The sequence below is a fragment of the Homo sapiens genome, chromosome 3 (assembly GCF_000001405.40).
Source record: "Homo sapiens chromosome 3, GRCh38.p14 Primary Assembly".
NCBI classification, from domain to species: domain Eukaryota; kingdom Metazoa; phylum Chordata; class Mammalia; order Primates; family Hominidae; genus Homo; species Homo sapiens.
In genome coordinates, this window is record NC_000003.12 from 108583875 (window position 1) to 108609535 (window position 25661).

Genomic DNA, 25661 nt, shown 5'->3' on the forward strand with positions numbered 1-25661 from the left:
ATAAGTTTGTATAAATATTATGTATCTGTGAAAAAATTAATTTAAAAAGATTATCATTTCAATTTTTCTGGAAACCTCAAATGCTTCTAAAGTATAAACACTGGAAGTGACTGGCATATTCATTCAAACTGTTGGTGGATGTTAGAAGTGGAAGAATCTTTTCAGAAAGCAATTTAGTAACGGTTATCAAATTTTAGAATGATCTAGAAATTCTAATGGAATTTATCTAATAGAAACACACTAATATTTGAGCAAAATTACATAGAATGTTCACTGCACTATTGATTCCAATAGCAAAAACTTAAAGACAGTTGACTGTCCACTATTAGGGGAATAGTTGAATAAATTACAGTACCCTGTAATTAAGGCACTAGGCAGCTATTAAAGATACTGATATGGAAAGAAACATCTGGTGCTCCACAACACCATTTGTGCTGAAAACAACCAATTAAAGATCCAAAAGTATTGTTTTGTTACAGCACAGAAAAATATCTGCAAAGAAACATACCAAACCATTAAATGAGATTATACCCTCAAAGCTGAAAAGATGAGGGCTGGTGGTAATGGGTACAGGCTCACCCCATTTTACTCTATGTCTGGGCTGTCTAATTTGGTAGCCACTAGCCTTCATGTGGCTATTTCAATTTAGATTAATTAAAATTAAAGATTCAGTTCCTTAGTCTATTACCCACACTTCGAATGCTTAATAGCTCCATGTGGCTAGTGGCTGCTACATTGGATAACACAGTTTTAAAACCATTCTGTCACTGAAGAAAGTTTTATTGGACAATGCTGCTCTGTGTTAATACTTCTGGATCACTAGAATTTTTTAAACTATGCATATATTACTATTATAATCACACAAAGAAATATCCCCACCGCCCTGCCCCAAATTGGAGTAGTGACCACTAAATGAACATTTAAGAACTAAAGAAATGGGGGAAAAGATAGAAAAAGCAACATCAGTACTTTTACCCTTTAGTTCTAAATTCAGTGTAATCTATTACAGAAGGATCATTCTTTGATCGGTAGCTATGACTTCCTCAGTGTCAAAAGATTCACAATGCACACTAGACTGAGAAGTCTTTGAAGGTGAATCATTCTTTAAGAGATTCTATAACTAAGCCTGCACTTTAAAATATTGTTCATACATCTTCCAAAAACTAAAAAGGAGAAATTAAATGCATTACCTAGTTGAGACAGCAAACCGATAATACTTAAGATCAGTGAAGCACTTATGTTGGGGTCTTCAAGTAGCTCTACAAGGCAACTCAAGCATTCACTTGTTAATATCTGATTTGATGTAAATAGTCGTGTGAGTTTCTGTCCAGAAATTACCTATAAAATAGTAATCAAAATGTGTTGGTTAAGCGATGGCAATTTTCATCTCTTCTCCATTTCAAATAAAAAACTCAGTTCCCTCAAAGTGCCACTGCTACCTTCCCAATTTAAAAAATTCACACATGCTGTGAAAAATTCACCCCTGCCTAGAGTACCCATCAATTACCTAATCCCTCCCTCCCTAGCTAAAGTAATCATTTGGATCTCAGTTTAAAATAATTTCCACCAGGAAGCTTTTCTTAGTTTCTTATACCATCTCAGTTCGGTCGGCCTATTATGCTATCCTATAGTACATTATATTTCTATTTCCTAAGTTAGCAAACTTTTGAGTTCCTAGCAATATTTCTCCTTCACACTACATTGAACATGCGATGAAGGCATAGCCTACAAATCTGCACTCTAGTACCAATATATTTACTATGCAAATAAATTCTAATACATTCTACTTACTTTGAGGGAGGAGAATGAAAAATGAAGCCCAGAGGGTAGTTATGGGATTATTCCTTCTGCTTCTTCCCAAAGACAATAGGTGAGCTCAGAAGTTAAGGGATTAAAGAAGGAAGTGAAAAGTGAATCTTTTTTTAAGTAGCCAGGCAAGGCATTGAAAAATTTTATTTCTGATTATTCCATTGTTTTTTTTACTTTCTTGTAATCTATAAGCCACATACACGCATGCACAGACACATACATACACACACACACACACAGAGTGAAAGAGAGAAGAGAGGAGGTAAAGCTGGAACTAAAGGCCAAAAGCAGTTGTCTCAAAGCATGAATTTTCAACATACTTTATGGATGTATTTATTACAAAGCATATCTTTTCTACAAAGATGGCAAAACCATTAGTTACCTTAGAATAAGACTAACTCTGTCCTGAATACTTATTTTAATAAGATCAAGCCTAAGCAGGCTGCTTTAGCATCCCTCTAATCTTTCCTTTCTGTATCCTCCCTTTATTCTCTCACCCACATCAGTTTTTCTTCTAAGGCTTTGCTGATAAGAGTTTCACATTATCTGTTCCCAAGGAGTGTTTTAACATTACTAAAGTAAAAGTCTATACAAGAAAAAATAAGTCCAAATATGAAAGTGCAGATGCCAGTAACAGATATTCTGGGGTAGGAAATACTGTGGGCATTACCCTGTTGCTTATTTATAAATCTAGCTCTCCAGAATAAGACACTTGCTGTTTTAAAAATGATTCTCTATAGGATTGGTCCTGTATCTCATTAACATAAATTGTCTAACATGTAATAATTATATGCACTAGGTAAAATAAAAATTGCTTTACAAGTTTTCCCTTTACTTATACTGAATCTCTTAAAACAAAGATAATTTATTTTAATAATAACTAATACTTATACAGCACTTACTCTGGCCTAGGCATCGATCTAGGCACTTTACATATGTGAACTCTTTTCATCTTCATAATAACTCTATAAGGTAGGTACCACTATTTTGTTTTGCAGATGAGTAAACTGAGGTACACACTGATAGTAAAGAAGCACAACTGGAATTCATATCTAGGCAGCTTGGTTCCTGAATTCATGCTTTTAATCACTACACAAAATTAGTGTTATGAAACATCATCATTAAAAATCAGATTAGCTCAGCTTTGCCAGTCATCAAACATTCAAAGCCTACACTCTGCATGGGGCTATAAAAGTGTGGGAGAAGTACAGAAGAATGAATAATCTCCTTTCACATGATACCCATCTCTCTTTGCATACTCAGATCTCGCTCTCATGAAGTCTGTACAAAGACATTCACCATTAAAAATACAAATACTGTCAACCAAAATGGTTAAAATTAAGAAATATGAAAACATCAAGGGTTGGTGTGGATAAGTGATGGTAAATTTCACATATTGCTAGTGGGAAGATAAAATGGCATATTTCAGAAAATTGTTTGGCAGTTTCAACTAAAACGGAACATATAGGCATATGTTCCAATGCTCTAACAATTCTACTCCTAAGTATATAAATGTGTGCATATATCCACAAAAAATGTATGTCTACAACAGCTTTATTCTTAATTCCACCCAGAAATGTAAACAACCCAAATGCCTATCAACAGGAAAGTGTATGTAAACTGTGGTACACTTATACAATAGAATTCTACACATCAATAATAAAAAAAATGAAGTAGCGGTACATGTGCAACATGAATTTCACAGATTTTATTGAGTGGAAAAGGCCAGACACAAGAGTACATATTGTATGAGTCTACTTACCCAAACCTTATGTGAAGAGGCAATGAAGAAACCCTATGGGGCTAGAAATGTTCTGTATCATGATACAGGTGGTAGCTACTCTACCTATATGTTAGCTACCAATATGGTAGCTATGGTACCTATATATTAAAAACTATCAAACTCTTCACTTAAGATTAATGCACTTTATGCTCTGTATGTATTTTATCTCTTAATTACAAAAAGTCCTTTTTAGTAGTAACCTGAAGCCAGTGCTCTTCATACCTTTGCAACAACGGTAGAAGAGTTTTATGTAAACCCCTTGAAAGTTTAGGAATACAGTAAAGACCCCATCCCATATTTTGTTTAAGTCTCTCTTTTTTTTTGTTTTGTTTTTGAGACGGAGTCTCACTCTGTCACCCATGTTGGAGTGCAGTGGAGCGATCTCTACTTATGCAACCTCAGCCTCCCGAGTTCAAGCGATTCTCCAGCCTCAGCCTCCCGAGTAGCTGGGACAACAGAGAGACGCCACGCCCAGGTAATTTTTGTATTTTTAGTAGAGACGGGGTTTCGCATGTTGGTCAGGCTGGTCTCAAACTCCCGACCTCAGGTGATCCGCTCGCCTCGGCCTCCCAAAGTGCTGGGATTACAGGTGTAAGCCCCTGTGCCTTAAATCTCTTTCAGTGCACAACCTTCCTGTTTATTCAAAGAAAGGTAATGCTTCAGAATAGCATACAAAATGCTTAACTCCCGATTTTTAAATTAAACGGACTGCCCTGCTTATTCTGCGGCTTCTGGAGCCTATGCTAATTCAGAAGCAAAGCCTTAAGCATTTAACAGCTAACACCTTAATTATTAGGTTTGCAGGCACTTCTTAAAATAAAGAATGAAAAAGAGAAAACAAATGTACTTAGGAGATGGGCACTTGAAGTAGGGAAAAGAGGAGCACCAGTGAAGCTCAAGATAAGACAGACACATTTAATACAACAGCAGCTTCACTAACAGCTGCTGTTGCTCTACTACTGGAAATCATTTTTTTCCTGTAATATTTTACAAATTTTTGGCACATTAGTCTTTTATCATAGGGTTAATATAATACAATATATTTTAAAATTATGTTCAATTCTACCTTAACAGAGGAAAGCTGTGACACAGAGAGTTAAAATAAGCCTTAATTGAGCTTTAAAAAAATTAAACTGAGGTCAATGTTAGTTTGAATTCCGTAAATGCAAAACAAATGAAAGCAGAAGATTAAGATCCTAAAACAAACGGAATCGTCTGGACACATATCACTAGAATAGAAAAAAAGGCAATTCAGCATTCTAAGATTAAAAAACTGTAAGCAATGTATTTTGGTAAAGAAAAAGGATTACGCTTACTAGGAAGGGGAAGTGCTTCTTAATGTTGAAATAATGTTTTTCAAGTTTGAGTTCAACCCGAGTTCAAGTAAGAGCAGTAAGCAACAAATTCAATTATAGATTACCGAAGGGCAAAACCAAGTTTTAATCATGACTTTCCGTCACTGAGAATAGTTGTGTATTGAGGGCTTGGTTTCGTAGAAAAACCAAAACTAGAAGCAAAGGAAAAGATAAAGTTCCGAGCTTTTTCCGTTACCTACTCGAAACAACCTGAACTTCCCAACCTTTTGCCCCACTCCCGCTTTTCCTAGAGCCTTCAGTGAGCGCTCTTGCCTCTCGCTGCGGCCAGCGGAACCCCGACACTCACTAGCCTTTACCAGTACGAAAAGACAACAGAGGGATCGAAGGACTGTCCTTTCTTTCCCAGGCTGGGGCCGCCACTCCTCGGCCTCACTGTGAAATAAGAATTGCTAGGGGAAGCCCCATCTGTCCTCTACCCCAGAGCCTCTCACCTCCAAGTGCCGCAAAAGCTGAGTGGCGTTCGCCTCTGACTTCACGGCTTTGTACTGACTGACAGTCAGGAGCAAGGACTTCAAGCAGGCAGTGGAGTCCATTGCACCGGCCGCGGCCCGGCTTAGGGACCACCACCGCCCAGCGTGCGCCGGCCTTTAGCTTTCGCCGCGCTTTTTTTGATTTTCGGCCCCACCCCCTCGCTCTCAGAAGCTTCCGGATCCGGTCGGGCTCCGGAAGTCCCTAGGCACCCTAGGGGACCGTTCTCGGTGACGGCCGGGGTGGGCCAGGGGTCGAGGTGATTTGTGGGTCCAGGACGGGGGTTGGGAGCTGCCCCCGCTAACCCACCCTCGTCTGAGAGGCCGCGAGGTTTCGGCCTGAGATCCCGTGAAGGCGAGAAATCTCGCGATTTCTCGGGAGAGGAATCGGTTAGGAGAAGGGGGATTCCTCACTCAGCTGTGCGCTCTGATTTCGTGCGCTTCCTCGTCCTTCATGTTGGATGGCCAGTTTTTCGTTTGTGCGTCATCCTCTACCTGAGAAATGGTCGCTTGCCCCTAGTCTAGACACGGTGAGGAGCTCTGAGGAGAAGAATCTTGGGCCCTAGATTTTGAGGCGGCCTGGGAGGGGCCTCGTTTTTAAATCTCTCCTACACCCGCCCCTTCTGCCCGGGGATGGTAGTTTCTCAGAGTCAACCTATTGGCATTATGTGGCAAATTAGTCATGCCCTGACCAAAGTATTTGTCACATTTATTCGAGAAGACTACCTCCTGCTGACCCTGGGCCAGGTATTGCTCCGGAGGGTGTTACTCGTTAGCGTCAGTTTTTGTAAGTGAAGGTGTCTGTTTCTCTCTGGCATGATTGATTGTTTTATAATTCTCGATGTCTACGAAAATGGCACTATTATTTGCGTTTTTTAAATCGGAGATAGCTTAATATTATTGCATGTGTATGTAATGAAGCGAGTCAGTTACTGGTTTTGGAGCTTTTTGCTTAATATTTCCTAACGTCGAATAAAGCTTTAAAAACCAGGATGTAGAAATTGTAAGAATAGGGTACATTTCCATTTAATTAAATCGTTTATCAGAAATCATGTTTTTTCACTTCAAAAGAATTTTTTTGAATTACTAGATTTTTGAAGACAGGTTTGGTGTTTTGGTTTTGTTTTTTATAAAAGTTTAAATCTGAAAGATAAAAATGATTTAACCAGTTGGGACATTCATGTAAAAATCTTTGGGTAGCTTGTGTGTTCATTTATGCTTTCATTCATTCCGTAAACAATTATAGAGCGTGTAACATGGGTTAGAAACTGCCAGTCAGGGAACAGAGATGAAGTAGTATCCCCTGCTGCGAGGGAACTGTCTAGTAAGGGAAACATACAAAATAGTACTTTTGAAATTCACCACATAAATGAGAGGCACCATGCAGTAACATGCAGCAGTGGTAAAGAGTAGAGAGCCAGGTTGCTTACAGATTCTAGCTCCACCTTTGACGATGTGACTCTAGGCAAGTTCTCACTGCTGCAGAATCTTCATTAGGTAAAATCTGGCCAAGGGAGATACCTGGTTCATAGGACTGTTCATTCAATAAGTAGTTCATTGAGAATCTACAATGTGCTAAGCACTTTTCTAGACACAATAGACTCAGTGAAAAAAACAAAAATACTACTGGCATGCAACTTACATTTTGGTAGGGAACCAAATAATAAACACAATAAATAAGTAAGGAAAATGATATAAAGAGAAAAATAGACGTTATTACTCTAGAATAATGTTGGTAATTGATAAGGGAAATGGGAAGGTGACCTCATTAAGAAAGCAACATTTGGGGAAATGCTTCAAGGAGTTGAGAAAGGGAGCCATATTCTATGGGAAAAGGTTTTTAGATAGAGGAAATGGCAAAGAAAGACCCTAAAGTGGGATACTGTATGCCAGAAACAAGGATGCCATGTGGCTAGTGTAGAAAGAACGAGGAGGAGAGGAGTAGAGATGAGGTCCTATACGGTCTTGGAGATGGTTAAAAAATGAATTAATGTAAAGTGTCAGCTGTCATCTGGCATAATTAAGTTCTCAGTGTTACAGTCAGTGCCTCATTGGCAAATGAAGTGATCAGAGTTTGATAGTGTTGGACTTTTCATCTGTGATGATGTGTCAGCATCGTCCCCATTCAGAGGCCCAGGGTAATGCGCAAAGCTGCGTGCTATCAGTGCCATCTTTGTTGGATTTTGACTTAAGCAGTCATACAAATTTTGTATTCTCTTCTGTAATTAATATCAAATGTCTTTCTCAAAAAATCTTCACCAAAATTGATGTTGTAAGTTTAGTAAGAGGGATCGTTTCTAGCTGTGATAAGTCTTGACATTTTTAATCAGAGATACTTGCATATCCTAATTTGAGAAACACCAATCCATACTTTTAGGCCTCAAAAAGGGAAGAAAAGGAGCAGGAGGCCAGGAGCAGTGGCTCACGCTTTTAATTTCCAGTTTTTTGGGAGACTAAGGCAGGAGGACCTTGAACCCAGGAGTTGGAGCCAGCCTAGGCAACATAGTGAAACGCCATCTCTACAAAAAATGAAAAAATTAGCCGGGCATGGGTGTGCTCACTTGTAGTCCTAGCTACTCTGGAGGCTGAGTTGGGGGGATCACTTGAGGCTGCAGTGAGTGTGATTGTGCCACTGCACTGTAGCCTGGGTGGCAGAGTGAGACCCTGTCAAAAAAAAAAAAAAAAAAAGAGATGAGTCTGGGTCCCAATGACCAAAGGCCTTATTAGCCTTAAACTTGGACTCCATCTTGAAGTCCGTGGCAATCTCTGGTTTTAAACTGGCACCTGGTCTAGTCAGGTTTGTTTTTAGATTGATTACTCTGGTAGCTGAATGAACTATGATTTTGGGGAGGATAAGACTGGAAAGAGGGACACTAATTTTCTGGAACCTTCTAAAGGATAACCAGGATAATTGAGGTGGAGATACAAAATAGGTGACAAATTCGAGAAGTATATATGAAGTAAAATAGGTAGGATTTGGTGACTGATAGTGGATGTGAGGCATGAAGAGAGGGATGAGTCTAGCAGATACTAAGTTTTTAGGTTGGATGAATGAGAAGATACAGATACTGCTGAGTTAGTTAATAGAAAGTATTAAGGGTGTGCCAGGCGTAGTGGCTCATGCCTTTTATTCCAGCACTTTGGGAGGCTGAGGCAGGAGGATCTCTTGAACCCAGGAGTTCAAGACCAGCTTGGGCAATATGGTGAAACCCCACCTCTACTAAAAATACAGAAAATTAGATGGGTGTGGGTGGTGCATGCCTGTAGTCCCAGCTACTCAGGAGGCTGTCATGGGAGGAACACCTGAACCTGGGAAGTCAAGGCTGCAGTAAGCCATGTTTGCCCCACTGCACTCCAGCCTGGGCAATGTGGGCAACAGGAGGGAGACCCTGTCTCAAAAAAAAAAAAAAAAAAAAGTATTCAGGTTATATTTTATGTTCAGTGAGATTTTATATAGTTTGTCATACTGTCTTGTTCCATTCTTATTATGTTTATTTATCATTACGTTTATTCTAATAGAGATTGGTTTACTTAGACTTTCTGCCTATATATCATCTGCAAATAATTACCTCACCCCTTCCAGTATTTGTTGTCTTACATTATTGCATTAGTGTAAGCTCCAAAATATGGAAAATCATGTTAACTTTGAACAGCTTTTTTACATAATTTAATGAGAATGAACAGTGTTTTAACACAGTATAATTTGTGCTATTGGCTTTTGATATTCATCATGTTTAAGAGATTGGCTTTTATATCTGTTTCATTCTAAAAAATGTCTGCCAAAAATTATCCAGTTTTCACATTTATATATTTTATTTTTCACTTTAAAATTATAACACAGTGGATTATGTTGCCTTTTTGTTCTTGGGATAATAATAGTTTACACTTATTGAGCATTTGCCATGTGCCAAGCACTGTCCTAAGGACTTTCTACTTACCTATCTAATCTTTATAACAACCCCATGCTGTAGGAACTATTATGATTTCCATTCTAGAGATGAAAAAACTAAGATAGGAAGGGGAAGTAATTTGCCCAAGGTCACGTAGACAGTAGTAACAATCCTATGTTTTTCTTTGCTTCAGGTTTTGATTTGCTGGTATTTTATTCAGGATTTTATTATATACCTGTTCATAAGTGAGCATTTTCAGTAATATTTTTCTTTATTCTCACATCAAATTTGAATTATATGTTACCATTGAAAAAGAAATTGGAAGTGTTTCATCTTTTTTTATGCTATGGGATAATAAGAATCATAGAAATTATCTGATCCTTGTAGGCTGTACACAGCTGTCTTGTAAAATCATTAAGCTTGATAGCTTATTTAGTGGTAGATGGTAGAAATTTAGCAAATATTTGAATTTCTTTCTTTTTTTTTTTTTTTTTTTAATATGGTTTCACTCTGTTGCCCAGGCTGGAGTGCAGTGGCATGATCACGGCTCATTGCAGCCTTGACCTCCCCGGGCTTATCTTCCCACCTCATCCTCCCTGGGAACACAGGCATGCCCCGCTATGCCAGGATAATTTTTCTATTTTTTGTAGAGATGGGGTTTCACCATGTTGCGCACGCTGGTCTCGAACTCCTGGTCTCGAGTGATCCGCTCGCCTCAGCTTCCTAAAGTCCTGGGATTATAGGCATGAGCTAACATGCCTGAGCTTGAATTTCTAGTATAGTTACGGATCTGATCATTTATTCTGCCTTTCCTTAATTGTAGATATAGAGCTTTTTAGCATAATAATTGCTTCTCTATATTAAAAATTTACCGATAAAAAGTTGCATTCAGCATTCCAGTAATTCTCTTAATCTCTTAGTAGTTTTAAATTTCCATTTTCATTCTAATGTTATCTATATTTTTTTCTTAGTTGGGCTTTCCAAGGGTTTGTCCATTTTATTCAGCTTTTCAAGAACCAACTTTCATTTTATTAATTCTCATTTTTCTTTGATTTCAGAATCACCACTGTTGTCTTTATTAATTTCATCCGTATACATTCATCTTTTATTTACTTTGTTGTTTTTCTAGGTTTTTAAAAGTTGAAGTCTTAGTACACCTAGGTTTTTAAAAGTTGAAGTCTTAGGACATCTCTCTCTCTCTCTCTCCCCCCTCCCCTCCCCCCTCCCTCCCTGCTCCCCCCCCATATATATATAACTTTCAAGTTTGGGGTACATGTGCAGGTTTGTTACATAGGTAAACTTGTGTCATGGGAGTTTGTTGTACAGATGACTTCATCACCCAGGTTTTAAGCCTAGTACCTGTTAGTTATTTTTCCTAATCCTCTTCCTCCTCCCACCCTCTGCCCTCCGATAGTGCCCAATGTGTGTTGTTCCCCTGTATGTGTCTATGTGTTCTTTCCGTTTTGCTCCCATTTATGAGTAAGAATATGCGGTATTTGATTTTCTTGCATTAATTTGCTAAGGATAATGGCCTTCAGATCCACGCATGTTCCTGAAAAGGACATGATCTCGTTCTTTTTTATGGCTGCATTCCTTAGTATATTTTTAAATAAAAATCATTTATTTTATGCCATGTATTTTATATTTTGGTTTTGTTTTGTGTTTTTTTCTTCACAGCAGAAAGTAAAGGCTAATAGACCAAAAACTTTTAAAAAGACAGTAGCTAAAGTAAACATCTCCATTTCACTTAAAAAATGTATAATAGTTTTAACCAGTCAGGTAAATACATTTTTAAATGCTAATAGTCATTTATTCATCAAATGTTTATTGAATGCCAGTTCTTTTTCAAAGAGATTAGATTTTGTTGGTGAAATAGACAAACCAGAATAAGTACTGTTAAGAGAAATAGAATACTGTGGAAACACATGGTATTTTTTAGGGTAAAATATTAAGTATCCACTTCCTTCATTCTTCAAAGATTAGCATAAAATTTCTCTTTGTGATTTTGTTGTTGTTGTTGTTGTTGTTTTGTAGGGGAGACAGCATCTCACTTGGTTGCCCAGACTGGAGTGCAGTGGCATGATTAATAGCTTATTGCAGCCTCTAGCTCCTGGGCTCAAGTAATCCTCCCACTTTAGCCTCTGAGTAGCTGGGACTACAGGCATGCACCACCACACCTGCCTAATTTTTAAATTTTTTTTAGAGACAGGGTCTTGCTATGTTGCCTAGGCTGGACTCAATCTGCTGGCCTCAAGCAATCCTGCCTCAGCCTTCCAAAGTGCTGGGATTACAGACATGAGCCACCACACCCACCTGTAAAGTTTTATTACTTGTCTGTACTTTAGATTTTGCATAGATATTTTCCGTAATTTATAGTTTCAGAAATACACCTGATGGAAGTAAATAACACTTGCTCGGCATCTTGTAACTCAAATTTAGGGCTGTCTAGCTCCTTTATTTCTTCTGGAAAAATCTAGAAAGAACATATTGTCTTCTATCCTGAATATATAATCTCTAGTAACCAGGGTTTAAGTAATAGTAGATGAATTAGACTGAATGAAGACTTGAATTATAGCTTTGACAGAACTGCAGAGTTTGCAGAATACTAAGTTTTGTAATATGGGAATTATACCGGGGTGTGAACACAGGGCTAATTGTTCATTCATTCATCTCCTGTATATTTAATGAACACTTGATGCTAGGTCCATTTCTAGGTTCTGGGAATACAGCAATGAATCAAATAGACAAAAATTTCTGCCCAAGTTGTTTTCTTATAATGGAGGATATAGACAATAAGGCATATAAGTAAAATTACATGAATGATAGCGGTAAGTATTAGGGAGTGAAAAAAGGGAGGAGGAATAGGAAGTATCAAAGTCAGGATAAGGTGTTACAATTTTAGATAGGATGGAGTACTAATTGATGTATGCCAAATAACAAATCACCTCAAAACACAGTGGTTGAGACCATGAGCGTTTATTTCTTGCCCACAGATTTGTGGTTGACTGCAGTTTGTCTGCTCCAGGCCTGATTTGACTGGGTGGCTGTGCTTCAGCCTTTTCGTGGAGAGGGGCAGATACCTGGATTTCTATTTAGGTTATGTTGTGATGTTAGACATCCAGGAGAGATTGAGTAGGCTATCAAATTACTGGTAGTTAAAGGAGCGGTCAGGGTTGGAGATAGAAATTGAAAGCCTTGAGACTAAATGATATAGGACCAAGTATGGATAGAAAAGACTTTTTAGGACTGAACTCCCTGATATTTAAGTATTTAGAGGTTGGAGAAGTGTGGAGGAACTGGCAAAGGAGACAGAAGTTAACTGCAAGAAGACACAGGTTCTGTCTTGACGCCATGGTTGCCTACAGGTACCAGCTTTACTTGTAGCATATGAGCTGCCTCTTGACTTCTAAAGGAGAATTTTAGGTTGGCCAAGAAGGCTGTTACAATCTACACACGGGCTCCCTCTTTACATCTGCCTTCAGAGGCCTTGAGGTGTGCAGAAGGGTGGGTGAGTTCATTTTTTAAAGCAATATTGAGTGCTTAACGTGTGCCAGGTGCTATTCTAGGCACCAAGGAATGAAAACAAAGTTTTCCTAACTTCATGGGGCTTATATTCTAGTGGGGACATGAAGCCAAATCTAAAACTGAGGGATTATTCAGTAGACATAAACGGCTGGTAGAACAAAAGTTTCACTGGCCCAGTTTCTAAAGCATGAAATCAGAAATCCTGCAGTAGAAAATTGGCACAGGTCTAGGCATGGGGTCATTTAGATAACCATGTGCCCAATATAGCTAAAATAATTCAAATGCTAATATTAATCTGATTCTACCCCTTATGCAGAGTCAGGAAACTAAGTGTATGATTAGTGTCAACTCATATTTTTCAGAAATGTTACCTTTGTCACAAAGCCAGAAAATCTAAAAAAAATTAATTCTCCTTTTACAATTATTTTTCCTGTTTTCTTTCACAAGTATCAAGTATTACAGTTCAGCTAAACTCTAAATGATTTGCCCAACCATGAAGTTAACTTTCACTTTTCAAACAGTTTCTGCTTTTTCTTTTTATACATTTCACAGCATTCAACTTTAGGTTAAGAGTACAAGGTTTGAATATTTTGAGTATATATTCCCCCATTTTCATATCTTATACCACATCTCAAATCTAATCACATCTATCCCAGAATAAGAATGTTGCCTTGCCTTTTTTTTTTAATGCAAGTACTATCCATTGTTTCTGAATCCAGTGTTAAGTATAAGTAGAGTGTAAGTAAAGATGAAAATGATATACTTTTAAGTTAAGGAACAGTAATCCTGGTAATTACTATTTCTTGAAGACCTATCTTCAAGATAGGTGCAGAGCATGGGTCTTTGCTTATCTCACTTTTAAATTTCTGGTCTTTCAGAAAATAAATACTATCAGGCTTATGAAATGAGTGGATATCTATTTCCTGAATTAAAATGTGAAGCTGTTTTCGAAGACAGTAGTGTCCAGAGTACAGTATGCACACCTCAGGGGATATGTGAAACTGTCCATTGAGGTGTGGGAACAAATATTAAAACGTTTTTTACTTGCTTTTATCTTATTCTTTTTTTATGTTATAATAATTATGCCTGCATATAATTTATAAGTGAATTGATATTCTTATATTTTCAGCATATTCTCAGATCTTTTACTGTTTTAGGGCTATGTGATCAAAAAAGTTTGGAGATTTCATTTTTAAAAATCTTTAACTTTGAGAGATCATTTAGCCAGGTGTGAACTATTGTCCATTTCATTGTTTATTTCAGTACCATGTATAGTATCTGAATTGTTTTGTTGAATAGAAAAACTCTTAGCAAAAACTAGTGTGACTAGTGACTATGAAATATTAGGCTGGCATGATTAATAACTTTTATAGTATTACTAAGAATGTGTAAATAGTTTCATTTCTGAGTATGCATATGTGCATATTATCTAGTCCAGCTCATAATTATACACTAAGCTTATATAAAATTAAATATGTTACTAGAAGTAATGGGACATGGAAGAAAATAGAATTGCAGTTGGTAAAATTTGGGCATGAATTTCTGCTCTTACGGATTTATTAGCTATGAGACTCTATAAGCCTCAGTTTCTTAATTTTTAAAACTTATTACAATAATGTTTATCTTCCATAGTTGTGTAAAGATCAGATGTTTATTCAAGGTGCATAGCTTAGAGCGTGGCACATAGGAGCTGATGAAAATTAAGCTTATTTTCAATGCAACCCAAGGTAATACACTCAGTTAATACTATATGAAAAGAAACTCTTTATAACCAAAAGCTCGCTCTGCCTTCTTACCTACACGCTTCTTACAAATGTATGCTTTTCTGAGATAACAGTGAGCTGCCAATTTTCTTACATGGGGTGGAGCAAGCTGGAGGTGGATAGGGCAAGCTTTCATTGGTGGTGGTAGAGGCAAGTACATGAAAGAAGTATTCCCATTCCCTATTTGATTACCATCTCTGCGTGCGTTATGTCTCAGGATTCTCCCTTCTTTTCTCATTATCTAACAACTATAATGACAACATAATATTTTTAAATTGCTGAAAATATTCCACCTTTGGAGTATGTGCTTAGGGGTAGCATATGCTTCTTCCAGTGGTTTCTAGCTACGTTTCTGAAGAGTGTGGTTTTAGCAGTGCTATCTGTAAATGTTTGAAACTGATGGCTTGTTTAGTATCTGGATAGTTTTTCAGGTAAATCCTAACTTGTGCATATTCATTGTAGGCACATTCCAACTATTCAAAACAAATTAATATGTATACTATAGGTTTACCTGTGTAAGTCCAAAAGTAACTAATTGAATAGATCTGAACAGAATTTAAAACCTGCTTAAGACAAGATGTTAATTTTGCTTTAGGAAAGGATGTTTCCCATGTTGGCAGATTTGTAACAAGGGGTGATGAGTATACATTATAAGGCACTTATTTCCTGGTTTAAGCAGATATATTGCTAACAGTGATCTTTGCAAAGTGGCAAGAGCTAACATAAACAGTGATCTTTTGGGATAGAAAATATCTTCCAGTTTCTGATAACTTTTGCAAAGATTTTTCCACCATCATCCATAAGTTCTGGAGTTTGAATAAGCAAACTGTATGTTCTTTGGGAGCAAATAATATTTTAGCTACTGGTGTCTAGGTGTATTTATTTTGTAGCTTTACCAGGAAGTTAAACAAATTAAAAAATGGAGAAATTAACAGTAAATTATAAAACCAAGTAATCAGTATATTTTGTTCATACTAATTATTGCTAATACAAAATAATGGTGCAACTTGTTAACTTGTTATTCTTTGAGTCTAACCTAATGGCCTCAGCCATTTTTGTCTACACAGAGCTCACTAACATACGAGAAATAAAGACTTTCATAGTGCTGTAACCACAGAACAACTGCACAGTGGACCGAATGTTTGTGTCCCCCCTCATTCAGTGTTGAAATCCTAACCCCCAATGTGATAGTATTAGGAGGTTGGGCCTTTGGGAGATAAATTAGGTCATGAAGGTGGAGCCTTCATGAGCAGGATTGTAAAAGGCCAGAGAGCTCTCTCACCCTCTTTCTACCATGTGAGGATACAACCAGAAGTTAGAAGTCTGCAGCCCAGAAGAGCACCCTTATCAGAACCAACTTTGCTGACACATTGATCTCAGACTTCTAGCCTCCGGAACTGTGAGAAATAAATTTCTGTTGTTTCTATAGTACTTTACTATAGCAGCCCCAATGACTAAGACAGTCATTTCAAAAGCCACAAAGAATGGCTAGTTATTGCTGCTAATCTAGCAGATGTACTCAGATCAACAATAGTTAAAATTCTGATTCCAAGGAACTCCTATCACAAAATGTCCTGCCATGTTCTTTGAAAGTGTTTTCTTCAGTGTTTTTAAGGGTTGAAGTGACCATAGCATCTTGATGTGTCAACTTTGAGGAGTTTTTTGGAATTCTTTTGGTAAAATTTAGCAGAAATGATAACTAGCAGTGTCAGAGTCTGCTTGTTAACAGACCCATGATCTTCTGGAGTACATTTAATTCAATGTTGAGTTAGGAAATCCAGCTTTTCAAAATAGCTATCAAAATTTTAACCAAGTTGCATGTTCAAGGTGGTGGTATTACAGCATTGTTTGTAATAGCATTTTTTTTTTTTAAAGTCAAACCTAGAGACAGCTGAAGTTTTTAATCAAAGGTCTGGTAAAATGATACATGCATACATTGGTATATCATGCAGTTTAAAGACTAAAGTAGATGTATATGTGCTGGTATGAAAAATGCAAGGTGCTGAACAGTGTGCACACATTATGTTGTCTTTTGTGTCATGTGATGTATTTGAAAAATAATTTTTTATCCCACTTCTTAAATCTCATTAACATTCCTTTCCAAACAATAGCATTTCTCCTTCACAGTAGGGAATTAGAAGAAAAGTTAATTAATTTTGCTGCAAACCTAAACAGTTAAATGATGATGATTATGATTATGAAAATGGTGATGATAGGAACACTTATATAGTGCTTACTACGTGCCAGGTACTATTCTGTCTTTTAAGCATTTAATCTTTACAACCCTATGAAGGAGGTACTGTTGTACCTCCTATGGATCCCTATGTTTTAGATAAGGAATACCCTTACAGTAGTTTAAGAGCACTGTAATCACTCTGTAAGGGTATGCTTTGACACACACTCTGCTTTGACACTCACTAGCTAGCTGTGTGATTTTATGTGAAATTAATAAACTTTCTCTGTGCTTCAGCTTCCTTATCTAACGAAGAAACTCAAATAATTTTGACATTAATGGATATCTGCATACTTTATGTCATTTTGCTTTCTTGTAGACGTAAGTTTGTTTGTGTCTGTACATGTTGTATAATATCAGGATGGTCTTATTTTTCTTCCCCAGAACAATCTCTAGGTCCACTTAATTAAGCTTGTTAATCTTAACTCATTCATTTAGCTGAATGTTTCTCAATGGAGAGTAATTTTATGCCCCAAGGGATACTTGGCAATATCTGGAGATATCGTTGATTGCCACAATGGGGCTGAGGTGTGTGGATGTGTGGGTGTGGGTGTGTGTTGGTGGGGAGCTGCCTCTGGCATCTGGTGGATGGAGGCTAGGGATGCTGTGAAACATCTTAAAAATGCATAGGAAAACTTCCCGTAACAGGGTTATCCAGGCTGGAATGTCAGTAGTTCCAAAATTGAGAGAGCCTGATATACTGGGCATAGGAAAAGTTCTTAAAAACTGTATTCCTTTCCTGAAAAAGACAAAATATATTACTTTGTTTTAAGTTAGTAGCGTGGAGAAAAGTATGAGCTTTATTTTTATTGTTTTCCACACCGATACTCACTTTTTCCTCCTGGCATTGTATAATCTGTAAGTGCTAGAGTTGACAAGGGAGGGAAATTCACGGGACATCCACCCACACTTTGAAATGTAAACTTGTTGGCATATTAGAGTCTCTATCTTGGCCAGGTATTTTTGAAATCAACCCAGTAGTGCCATAGATAGTTGTTTTTGGATAAACATAGAGATTGACCCTTCTGGTGTTAAAGCTTGAAACTTGTATTTATTTGAGTTTCTTCCTCAGGAAACGACCTTTAGGCCTCTCAAAAAAAAGTATCCAAGAACTGAAAATTACCAGATCACTTCACCAGATGCCTCTTTGCCCCTCCCTAGTTATTATTTTTTTGCACATTATTACATTTCTTCCCTGCTATATAAACCCCTAGTTTTAGTCAGTCAGGGAGATAGATTTGAGATTGAGCTTCATCTCCCCAGCTGTAGCACCCAATTAAAGCCTTCTTCCTAGGCAAAACTTGTTTCAGTGATTATCTTTCCAGGCGGCCAGCAGTAGGATCTAGACTGAACCCTTGGTATTTTGGTAACATTTTAGTCAAGATGAACATTTGAGTGGATTTTTATAAAAATGTGCCTATATACAGTTTAGGAAGGTGATAGTAACACAAGTTAAATGTTTAAGTGGATTATTAAAAAATTATGCATAAGAGCTGTGCCTGCTTTGACGTGAATAAACACAGCTTTAAAAATGGAAACAAAATACCTTTACAACTAAAAAAAATTGTTAAAATTTCAGTAAGTAAGAGGGAAAGTAGGAACTGAGAGTTCAGGTAGAAGGAACAGTAAGGAAGGCATGTCACTGTTTATTAAGATATGGATGGTATTACCTTATTTTTCAACCAGTAAAACACAGCCTACAGATAAGATCATCTTGGTTAGTGGATAAAGGTGTGCTGTAAATTGACATTGAACTTTAGCTTGCCCTCAGATCAACCAACAAGGACCTAAATAGATTTCTGGAGAAGAGCAGTCTCTTAATCCCAGGAAGTCAGAGTAAATTTAGTTTACTGCCGACAGGGAAAGTCTATTGAAATGAATACGCTAGGGGAAACTAGATTTACCTTTCTTTTTTTTCCTTCATGTTAACGCTTTCTTAAAAGGTTTCCTCTTCTAGAATGGTAAAAACCTTTGGGTTATTTTAGCAGCTCAGTGGTGACATTTCAGGCTGACTGCTTCCTTTTGGTTGCTAGGCACTTCGCCTTTCTCGCAACAGAGGCTGTAAAGTGCTACTGCTGTTGCTATTGCTGGTAGTGTTTGCCACACATACCTGTTTAGCTCCTGGGAAATGATGAGATTGATGATTCTTTCTCCTGGAAAACCTTTCATCACAGAGATTCATCTCAGGTTGTATTTTGAGCAAGCTGAAAAAGCCCTAGCCTTTCTTAACTCTGTTAATTCGGGATCCAAGTATCTTTTTGATTTGTTGATTAATTTTCCACCCATTTCTTTTTCAAGCTGAACACTGAACAGCTTAGCAGAGGCCTTCTGTCCTCTCTTATCTCATCACCAGAGGATTTTCCTCCCTTCTTTTCATCCTTGCTGTGATCTATGCAAACAGCTACTGGCCAAAGAAGAGCTTAGCAGAGGGGGAGGACTCCAAGTCTGAGCTTTGATAAATTCTGGAAATGAGGGGATTGTTATCTGGAAAAGGCGTACATTTGTATTCTCTAGGTATGAAATAATGCCTTAACTGTTGTTACTTTTTATTAAAATAACACAGAGAATTATAGAAACCATAAAAGTAGTTTGATCACAGTTCTAAAATCCTCAGTTATGTCTTTTTCTATACAGCTTTATTAAAGAGATGAAGCAGATCTGATCTAGTGTGAATGACAAGGTTTATTCAACCTCTCTGCTTCGTTATTAGCTGTAGTTTGTATCTTTCATCAGTATTTGAACAGAGAATACAAATTAAAATATGACTTGGCTTACTGAATTTTTGAAATGAGTAAAACTATAGAATAACAATTATCTAGGAAAACTGTATTCATTCTGTGTAGGCAAGATGTAATACAGCAATGAAGTGTTTTTGTTGGGGATGAGCAAGAAATTAAGAGATATTAGAAGAAAGCTCTTTTAAATGAAATTTAGAAGGAAATCTCTCTCTCTGTGTATATATGTGTAATTTTGTGTTTTAAGATATCAGTAGCAAATTGTTGCAGAATTATTCTTGTCTCTTAATACTTTCTGTGTTACTTAGAGTTGGTGTGAGTCAGATGTAGAATATTGGTATGTGGTATCATAATTAGGAATACTTGTTTTACAGATGATTTCCACAGGACTTCTTTTAGTCCTTATACCAGGCCTGAGTTGTCCCCTCCCTTGATCTAAGCTTACTGAAAAGATACACAGACCTCAGGGTGTTTTAGATGGGTTCAGGTTCTGCATTTACTTCTTCCTGTCTGTGGTAAATTGCTTTTTTTGGTGGGGGAGGGGCAGGATATCATTAAAACAATGTTTCTTTGAGTAAACACAATCTGAATTCTTAATAAGTGACTTACAGTTGATCTTGTGGAATATATTTTATTGATTTGGGAATTACCCTATGCTGAATTACCTTTTAGTAATGGGCCTAGCTAGAAAGGCTGTACCAATCTAATTTATGGAATTGTATTAAATATGCTGTTACAGAAATGGCTACCCAATTACTGGATAAATAAGCAGTTCAGAGACAACAAATGAGAAACTTCATCCAGTCTTGTGCTTGGCAGCAAGGCAGCCTACGTCCATTTTATTTATGCAGTTGCTGCCACTTTCTTTTCTATTTCTTCTTTTGCCCCAGAGCATATAACAATAGTTTTATATATAATTTAACACTTTCCGGGCTTAGGGTAGGATCAGAAAAGGAAGCCAGCCTAGCACAAAGCACTGGAGTCTAGAGGCTTGAACTTTCAGTAAGAAGATTAAATGGGACCTGTTTTAGAAGAGTTGTTCTTGGAATAAATAGCTATGTAAATAAATATATATACTTATGATACTCTAGTCTCTTTGTTTTCATTTGTGTTGCCTCAGTGTTATTTTTCTTTCAGGAAGTATCCACAACATCCATTGATATTTGAACCACAGATTGTGCAAGTGTTCTTTACATCCTGTGTCTTCTATTTTATGGAGATGTAGAATCATGATTTGGGGAAAAAGTAGCTACATGTTATTTGTAGACTAAAAGAAAACAAAACAGTGCTGTCAAGATTGTATTAAGCAGGAACTCATATATACCTCATGGGAAATAAATTAGTATAAACCTTTTGGGAAGCCATTGAACAATGAAATATTTGTGTCTTTTGATCTATTAATTTTACTTTTGAGAATGTATTGTAAAGAAATAATCACAAATGTGGAAAAAGCTGTATGGATAATTGAGTTTATCATGGAACTATTTATAATAGAAAAAAATGGGAAATTAAATGACCAACTATAAGGAAATGGCCAAGGAAATCCCAATCAACCAGCTGTTGTATAGCCATTAAGAATGTTTACTAGGAGGATAAAATAACATGAAAGATTCTTTTGATATAACATTCAGTGGTGAAAAATGTGGGGTAGAACATCTTTTATTTAATATGATTACAAATTGGTAAAATATACCTATGCTTGGTAAAAAATAAGCATATTAAAGGATGAGTAGTGATTATGTTTGGGTGGCGAAACTATGATTCATTTTCTTCTTTTAGAGCAGTTTCAGATTTTCTTCAAATGATCACGTTCTGTTTTCATAGTGGGGAGAAAGAGTGTAACTTTCCTATCTTCATAAAAATATTATTTTCCTTACAGCATTAAAGGGCAGTATTTAAAGTCAGTTGGCAAGCAGTGGAATAAGATTTTTGTAAAGAAACCTTGTGCAGCATGGATTCTCTACCAGATGAATTTTTTGTGAGGTAAGGCCACAGTCCCCAACCTTTTTGGCACCATGGACTGGTTTCGTGGAAAACAATTTTTCCACGGATGGTGGGGGTGCGGGGAATGGTTTTGGGGTGAAACTGTTCGACTTCAGATCATCAGGCATTAGATTCTCACAAGGAGTGGGCAACTTAGATCCTTCACATGGGCAGTTCACAATAGAGTTTGCACTCCTATGAGAATCTAATGCTGCTGCTGATCTGACAGAAGGTGGAGCTCAGGTGGTAATGCTTGCCCACTGCTCACTTCCTGCTTGCTGTGCAGCCCAGTTCTTAACAGGCCATGTACCTGTACTTGTCTGTGGCCTGGGGGCTGGGGACCCCAGAGGTAAAGGATAGGTTGACAAAAACCAGCTGCATTTGTTGTATTCCTAAAGACATAATGTTTGTTTTTTCCACGTAACCTTGGGAAGCCAGTATGAACAGGAAACCCTTATGCTTCAAGACATTTCAGCAAGTTTGGTTAGTGGGTGATGTAGACTGGGTGAAATCTAATTTTACAAAAGTTCACTAGGGATTACATCCTCACTGAGGAGCTAAGAATTGAAAAATGTGCCATACCTTATTGTTCAGTCATTCTCACAAAAATGTTTTATGATTTAACAAGTGCTTACATAGACTTACTATGTCAGCATTGTTTTTAGTGTTTTTACATTATGTTTTACACATAAACCTCATAACAACTCTATGAAGTGAGTGCTGTTATTATCCCTATTTTCTAAAGGGTAATTTAAGCATGATGCAGAAGACCCTGCTGAGTGGTTCAGTGGGCCAAGGCCAAATGACATTCTCTTTTCTCCAAGCAGGGCAAGTTCAGCCCACCTCTACCTCATATAATACTAAACAGGGTCGTATTGGAGATCTCCCTCCAGGCTTGAACTATCTCATATAATAAGCAGTGTGACTTATTAATTTATTTTACAAAAGCATTTACTGATTCCTTGGTGCTTAGGGAATAAAGACTAAGACAATATTTGTGTACCTAGAGATAGCTTATTATATAGTGGGAAGATATATAAAAAGTAATTATATCTTTAGGCAAATTGCATAACTATTAGAGATTCTGTGGCTGTCTATAGGAAGAAAAAATAATTATTCCACAAAGTAACATTTGAACTGATCTTTAAAGAATGAGAAGCATTGTGATGGGTTTACAAGCAAGGGAGGATAAAAGGTCATTTGGCTGAGCTGAGGAAATAGCAAGAAAAAATACTTAAGAAAAATTTTTGGGGTGTATTTTGACTATGTTGCTAAGAGGTTTTGGCTTTATTTGTACAGAGGAGGAAGTGAGGGTAAGTTGGAGTTACACATCAAAATTTGTAATGGAGCCTATAGAAAATATAGCAGCCCACATGGCACTTTTGATTCAGAAGACATGAAGTAGGTTTTGGGCATCTGGATGTTTCAAAAGCTTCACAGTTGATTTTAATATGTATCTGGGATTGAGAAGTATTGGGTTAAAGAGGGAATGATCATGAAATGGAGTTTGCTGGTAGAGTATACACTTGAGAACATGTTATACTCTTTCTCAAACCTTGAAAGACTTCAGAATACTGCTGCAGTATTTTTCATTCCTTGATAGCACAAAGATATAACTTGTGTTTTGCTTTATTTTTTGTAGGGCAAGTGGGGCTTGGAAGTGGAGGAAAAGACAGGTTTCTTTTTACCGTGGCACCTTAAAGAGCACTGAGAATCATATTGTGAAATGTTGGCATGTGTATATCATCTTTTGTAGAAACTTTCACTAGAAGTTTGAAAATGGACAATACCATTTTATTTATCTGTCCCAATTTACCCCAACAAAATCAATTAGCATATATTAGATGATAAATGGTTGTCTGTCAAATGAATGCATAAATGTAAAGTCAAATAAGAGAATATTTATAAAGTACAATTCTGAATAAATCAGTCAATATAAATTTCTCACCTCAGTGTTATCTCTGCTGGTGTCCAGAATTAACATAGAATAAATCACCTATGACCCTATATTATGGTGCCTTTATTATGGTTCCTATACAATGGTTCTGTATGCAGGCAAAAGCAACATTACAAATAAAATTTTCAGTTCAGTATATAATACTGCAGTGTGTTCACATTTTGAGCTAAGGTTAAAAGCAAAACCTGTCAAGTGATCCCTTATTACTCAAATAGTTTCTAAATATGATACTTTTCCTCAGTTAAAAATATTTTGGAAAACTGGACAATTGTAAGTTTAGGAACCCCAAACAGAAAATAAGATGATCTATTTAAGATAGATCTCTCCCTAACCTGTAATATCTTCATAAACACACAAAACATCAACCTTTTTAAGACCTCTTTTCCCTTTACCTTGGAACAGTGCTATAAGGTTTTTTTCCCATTAGTTTGGTCTACTGCATATCTGTTAAGGATGCAGTGTTTTTCATAATTGGCTTGCTGTTTTCTCTACCACCATCCAGTAAGGGCATGGCCAATTCGTCTTCTTTAACATGAGTCTCTAAAGAGATATGGCACCTACCACCATTACCAGTCTTTGATACATTTTGGTTACACTTTCAGACAATAATTCAATTGTTAGATTCTTTACTACTACAATTTGTGTTCTTTGTGAGAAGATGCTCTTAATATACCTCATTTTCATTTAAAATAGGCATCCTGCTGTGGAGGATCAGAGGAAGGAAGAAACTGAGAATAAGCTAGAAAAATCATCTGGTCAACTGGTAAGAGAAAGTTTAATTTTCATTAACTGTTAGTTAATTGATAATTAATTATATATGCAAATGCAGTAATACATCTAGTCAGTTTAATTACGTGTTAAAATTTTTTGAGTGAGCCTACTTTCCTACCTTCATAAGTAAAATGGTCACAGTTAAATCTTGCTTTGATGATTGATACTGTATCTCAAGGTTGTCATTCTAAATACCATTCCTCACCATAACTAAAAATTAGTAAAAAAAAATTGAATGGAATCATCCAGAAATAACCCAACAATCATTTTTAAGAAATCCCTCATTTGTTTTTTGAAGGGGAAATTAAAGCAAAACAAAACCTATATACATATAAAGAAAACACACATACACACATACAGAATTTTATTTACTAAGACGTTTGAGTCATTTCTGAAGTTAAACTTATTCTTTATTTTTATTATCTTTATGGTTAGAACTTCTAGGTCTAAATGAAAGAGAATAACTCTGAATTATACATAAAAGGCTTTTATTACCAGTGATATACTTTTATGGTAGTTAAAACTAGTTGTATGAACATCATATGTTCATATATTTTGTGAAAGACTGATTAAGAGATATTTGTTAGGTTCTCATTAGTATAATTTTACCTTCCACATAGTTTTATATAATGATTGATGTCCACTTGTTAATAAGTGTATTAGTCTGTTCTCATACTGCTGTAAAGAACTACCTGAGACTGGGTAATTTATAAAGAAAAGAGGTTTAATTGAATCACAGTTTCTTAGGCTGGACAGGAGGGGGCATGGCTGGGTAGTCCTCAAGAAACTTAGAGTCATGGGGGAAGGCAAAGGGGAAGCAAGCACGCCTTCACGTGGCGGCAGGAGAGAAAGAGACCAAAGGGGAAGGTGCCACACACTTTTAAACAACAAGATCTTGTGGGAACTCTTATCATGCGACAGCACTAGGGAGATGATGCTAAACTATTAGAAACCACCCCCATGATCCAATCACCTCCTACCAGGTCCCTCCTCTAACACTAGGAATTACAATTCAGCATGAGACTTGGGTAGGCACATGTTTGCAGGAACATGGGTAGGAAAGTTTGCAGAGGTTATCCTGTAACTTAGGAGGGGAAAATATATAAACATAAAATAAGCACGGTATTCACCTGCATGAGGTTATCGCTGTAAAAAATGCTGCAGAGGAAGTATGCTATATGCACATGTATGTAGGGTTGTACAGTTGAGCAAAGGCAAGAACCAGGGGACTAGATCCAGAAAAGACATTTCTAGATGCAGAATCAGGAATACAAAAAGCAAGGAAGGTGGACACTTTGACCTGAATTTTGTTTAGATATTTAATCAATTTTGCCAAAATGGATTAAGCATCAAATATTTTTTGACAACT

General features: G+C 36.8%; 2 protein-coding genes across 15 annotated transcripts in view, besides 1 other annotated feature; one reads left to right on the forward strand and one right to left on the reverse strand.

The window, feature by feature from the left end:
• CIP2A (cellular inhibitor of PP2A) overlaps window positions 1-5564 on the reverse strand; it is a 39575-nt gene extending 34011 nt beyond the window's left edge. For both annotated transcript variants that reach the window (XM_006713716.4, NM_020890.3), the window contains exons 1-2: window positions 5400-5564; window positions 1191-1338 (exon numbers count right to left, since the gene is read on the reverse strand). In XM_006713716.4, coding sequence (XP_006713779.1) covers window positions 1191-1338; window positions 5400-5501 — 250 coding nt within the window. In that variant the 5' untranslated portion in view covers window positions 5502-5564. The remainder of the gene's footprint in view (window positions 1-1190; window positions 1339-5399) is intronic.
• Window positions 5565-5635: 71 nt separating this feature from the next.
• The window catches only part of DZIP3 (DAZ interacting zinc finger protein 3), a 105331-nt gene continuing 85305 nt past the window's right edge, over window positions 5636-25661 (forward strand). For 5 of the 13 annotated variants that reach the window (NM_014648.4, XM_005247919.5, XM_047449255.1 and 2 more), the window contains exons 1-3: window positions 5848-5965; window positions 21461-21564; window positions 24215-24284. In NM_014648.4, coding sequence (NP_055463.1) covers window positions 21533-21564; window positions 24215-24284 — 102 coding nt within the window. In that variant the 5' untranslated portion in view covers window positions 5848-5965; window positions 21461-21532. Of the gene's footprint in view, window positions 5696-5847; window positions 6223-15902; window positions 16013-18917; window positions 19034-19144; window positions 19361-21460; window positions 21565-24214; window positions 24285-25661 lie in introns of those variants that run through there. The other 8 variants (XM_005247914.5, XM_047449256.1, XM_005247916.4 and 5 more) reach the window with 7 other exon arrangements.
• Window positions 5763-6042: an enhancer, noted in NCBI's record as "active region_20222". NCBI's record gives its function as "activates an Ori minimal core promoter by ATAC-STARR-seq in GM12878 lymphoblastoid cells {active_cell/tissue: GM12878}" and the evidence as "EXISTENCE:reporter gene assay evidence [ECO:0000049][PMID:35858748]".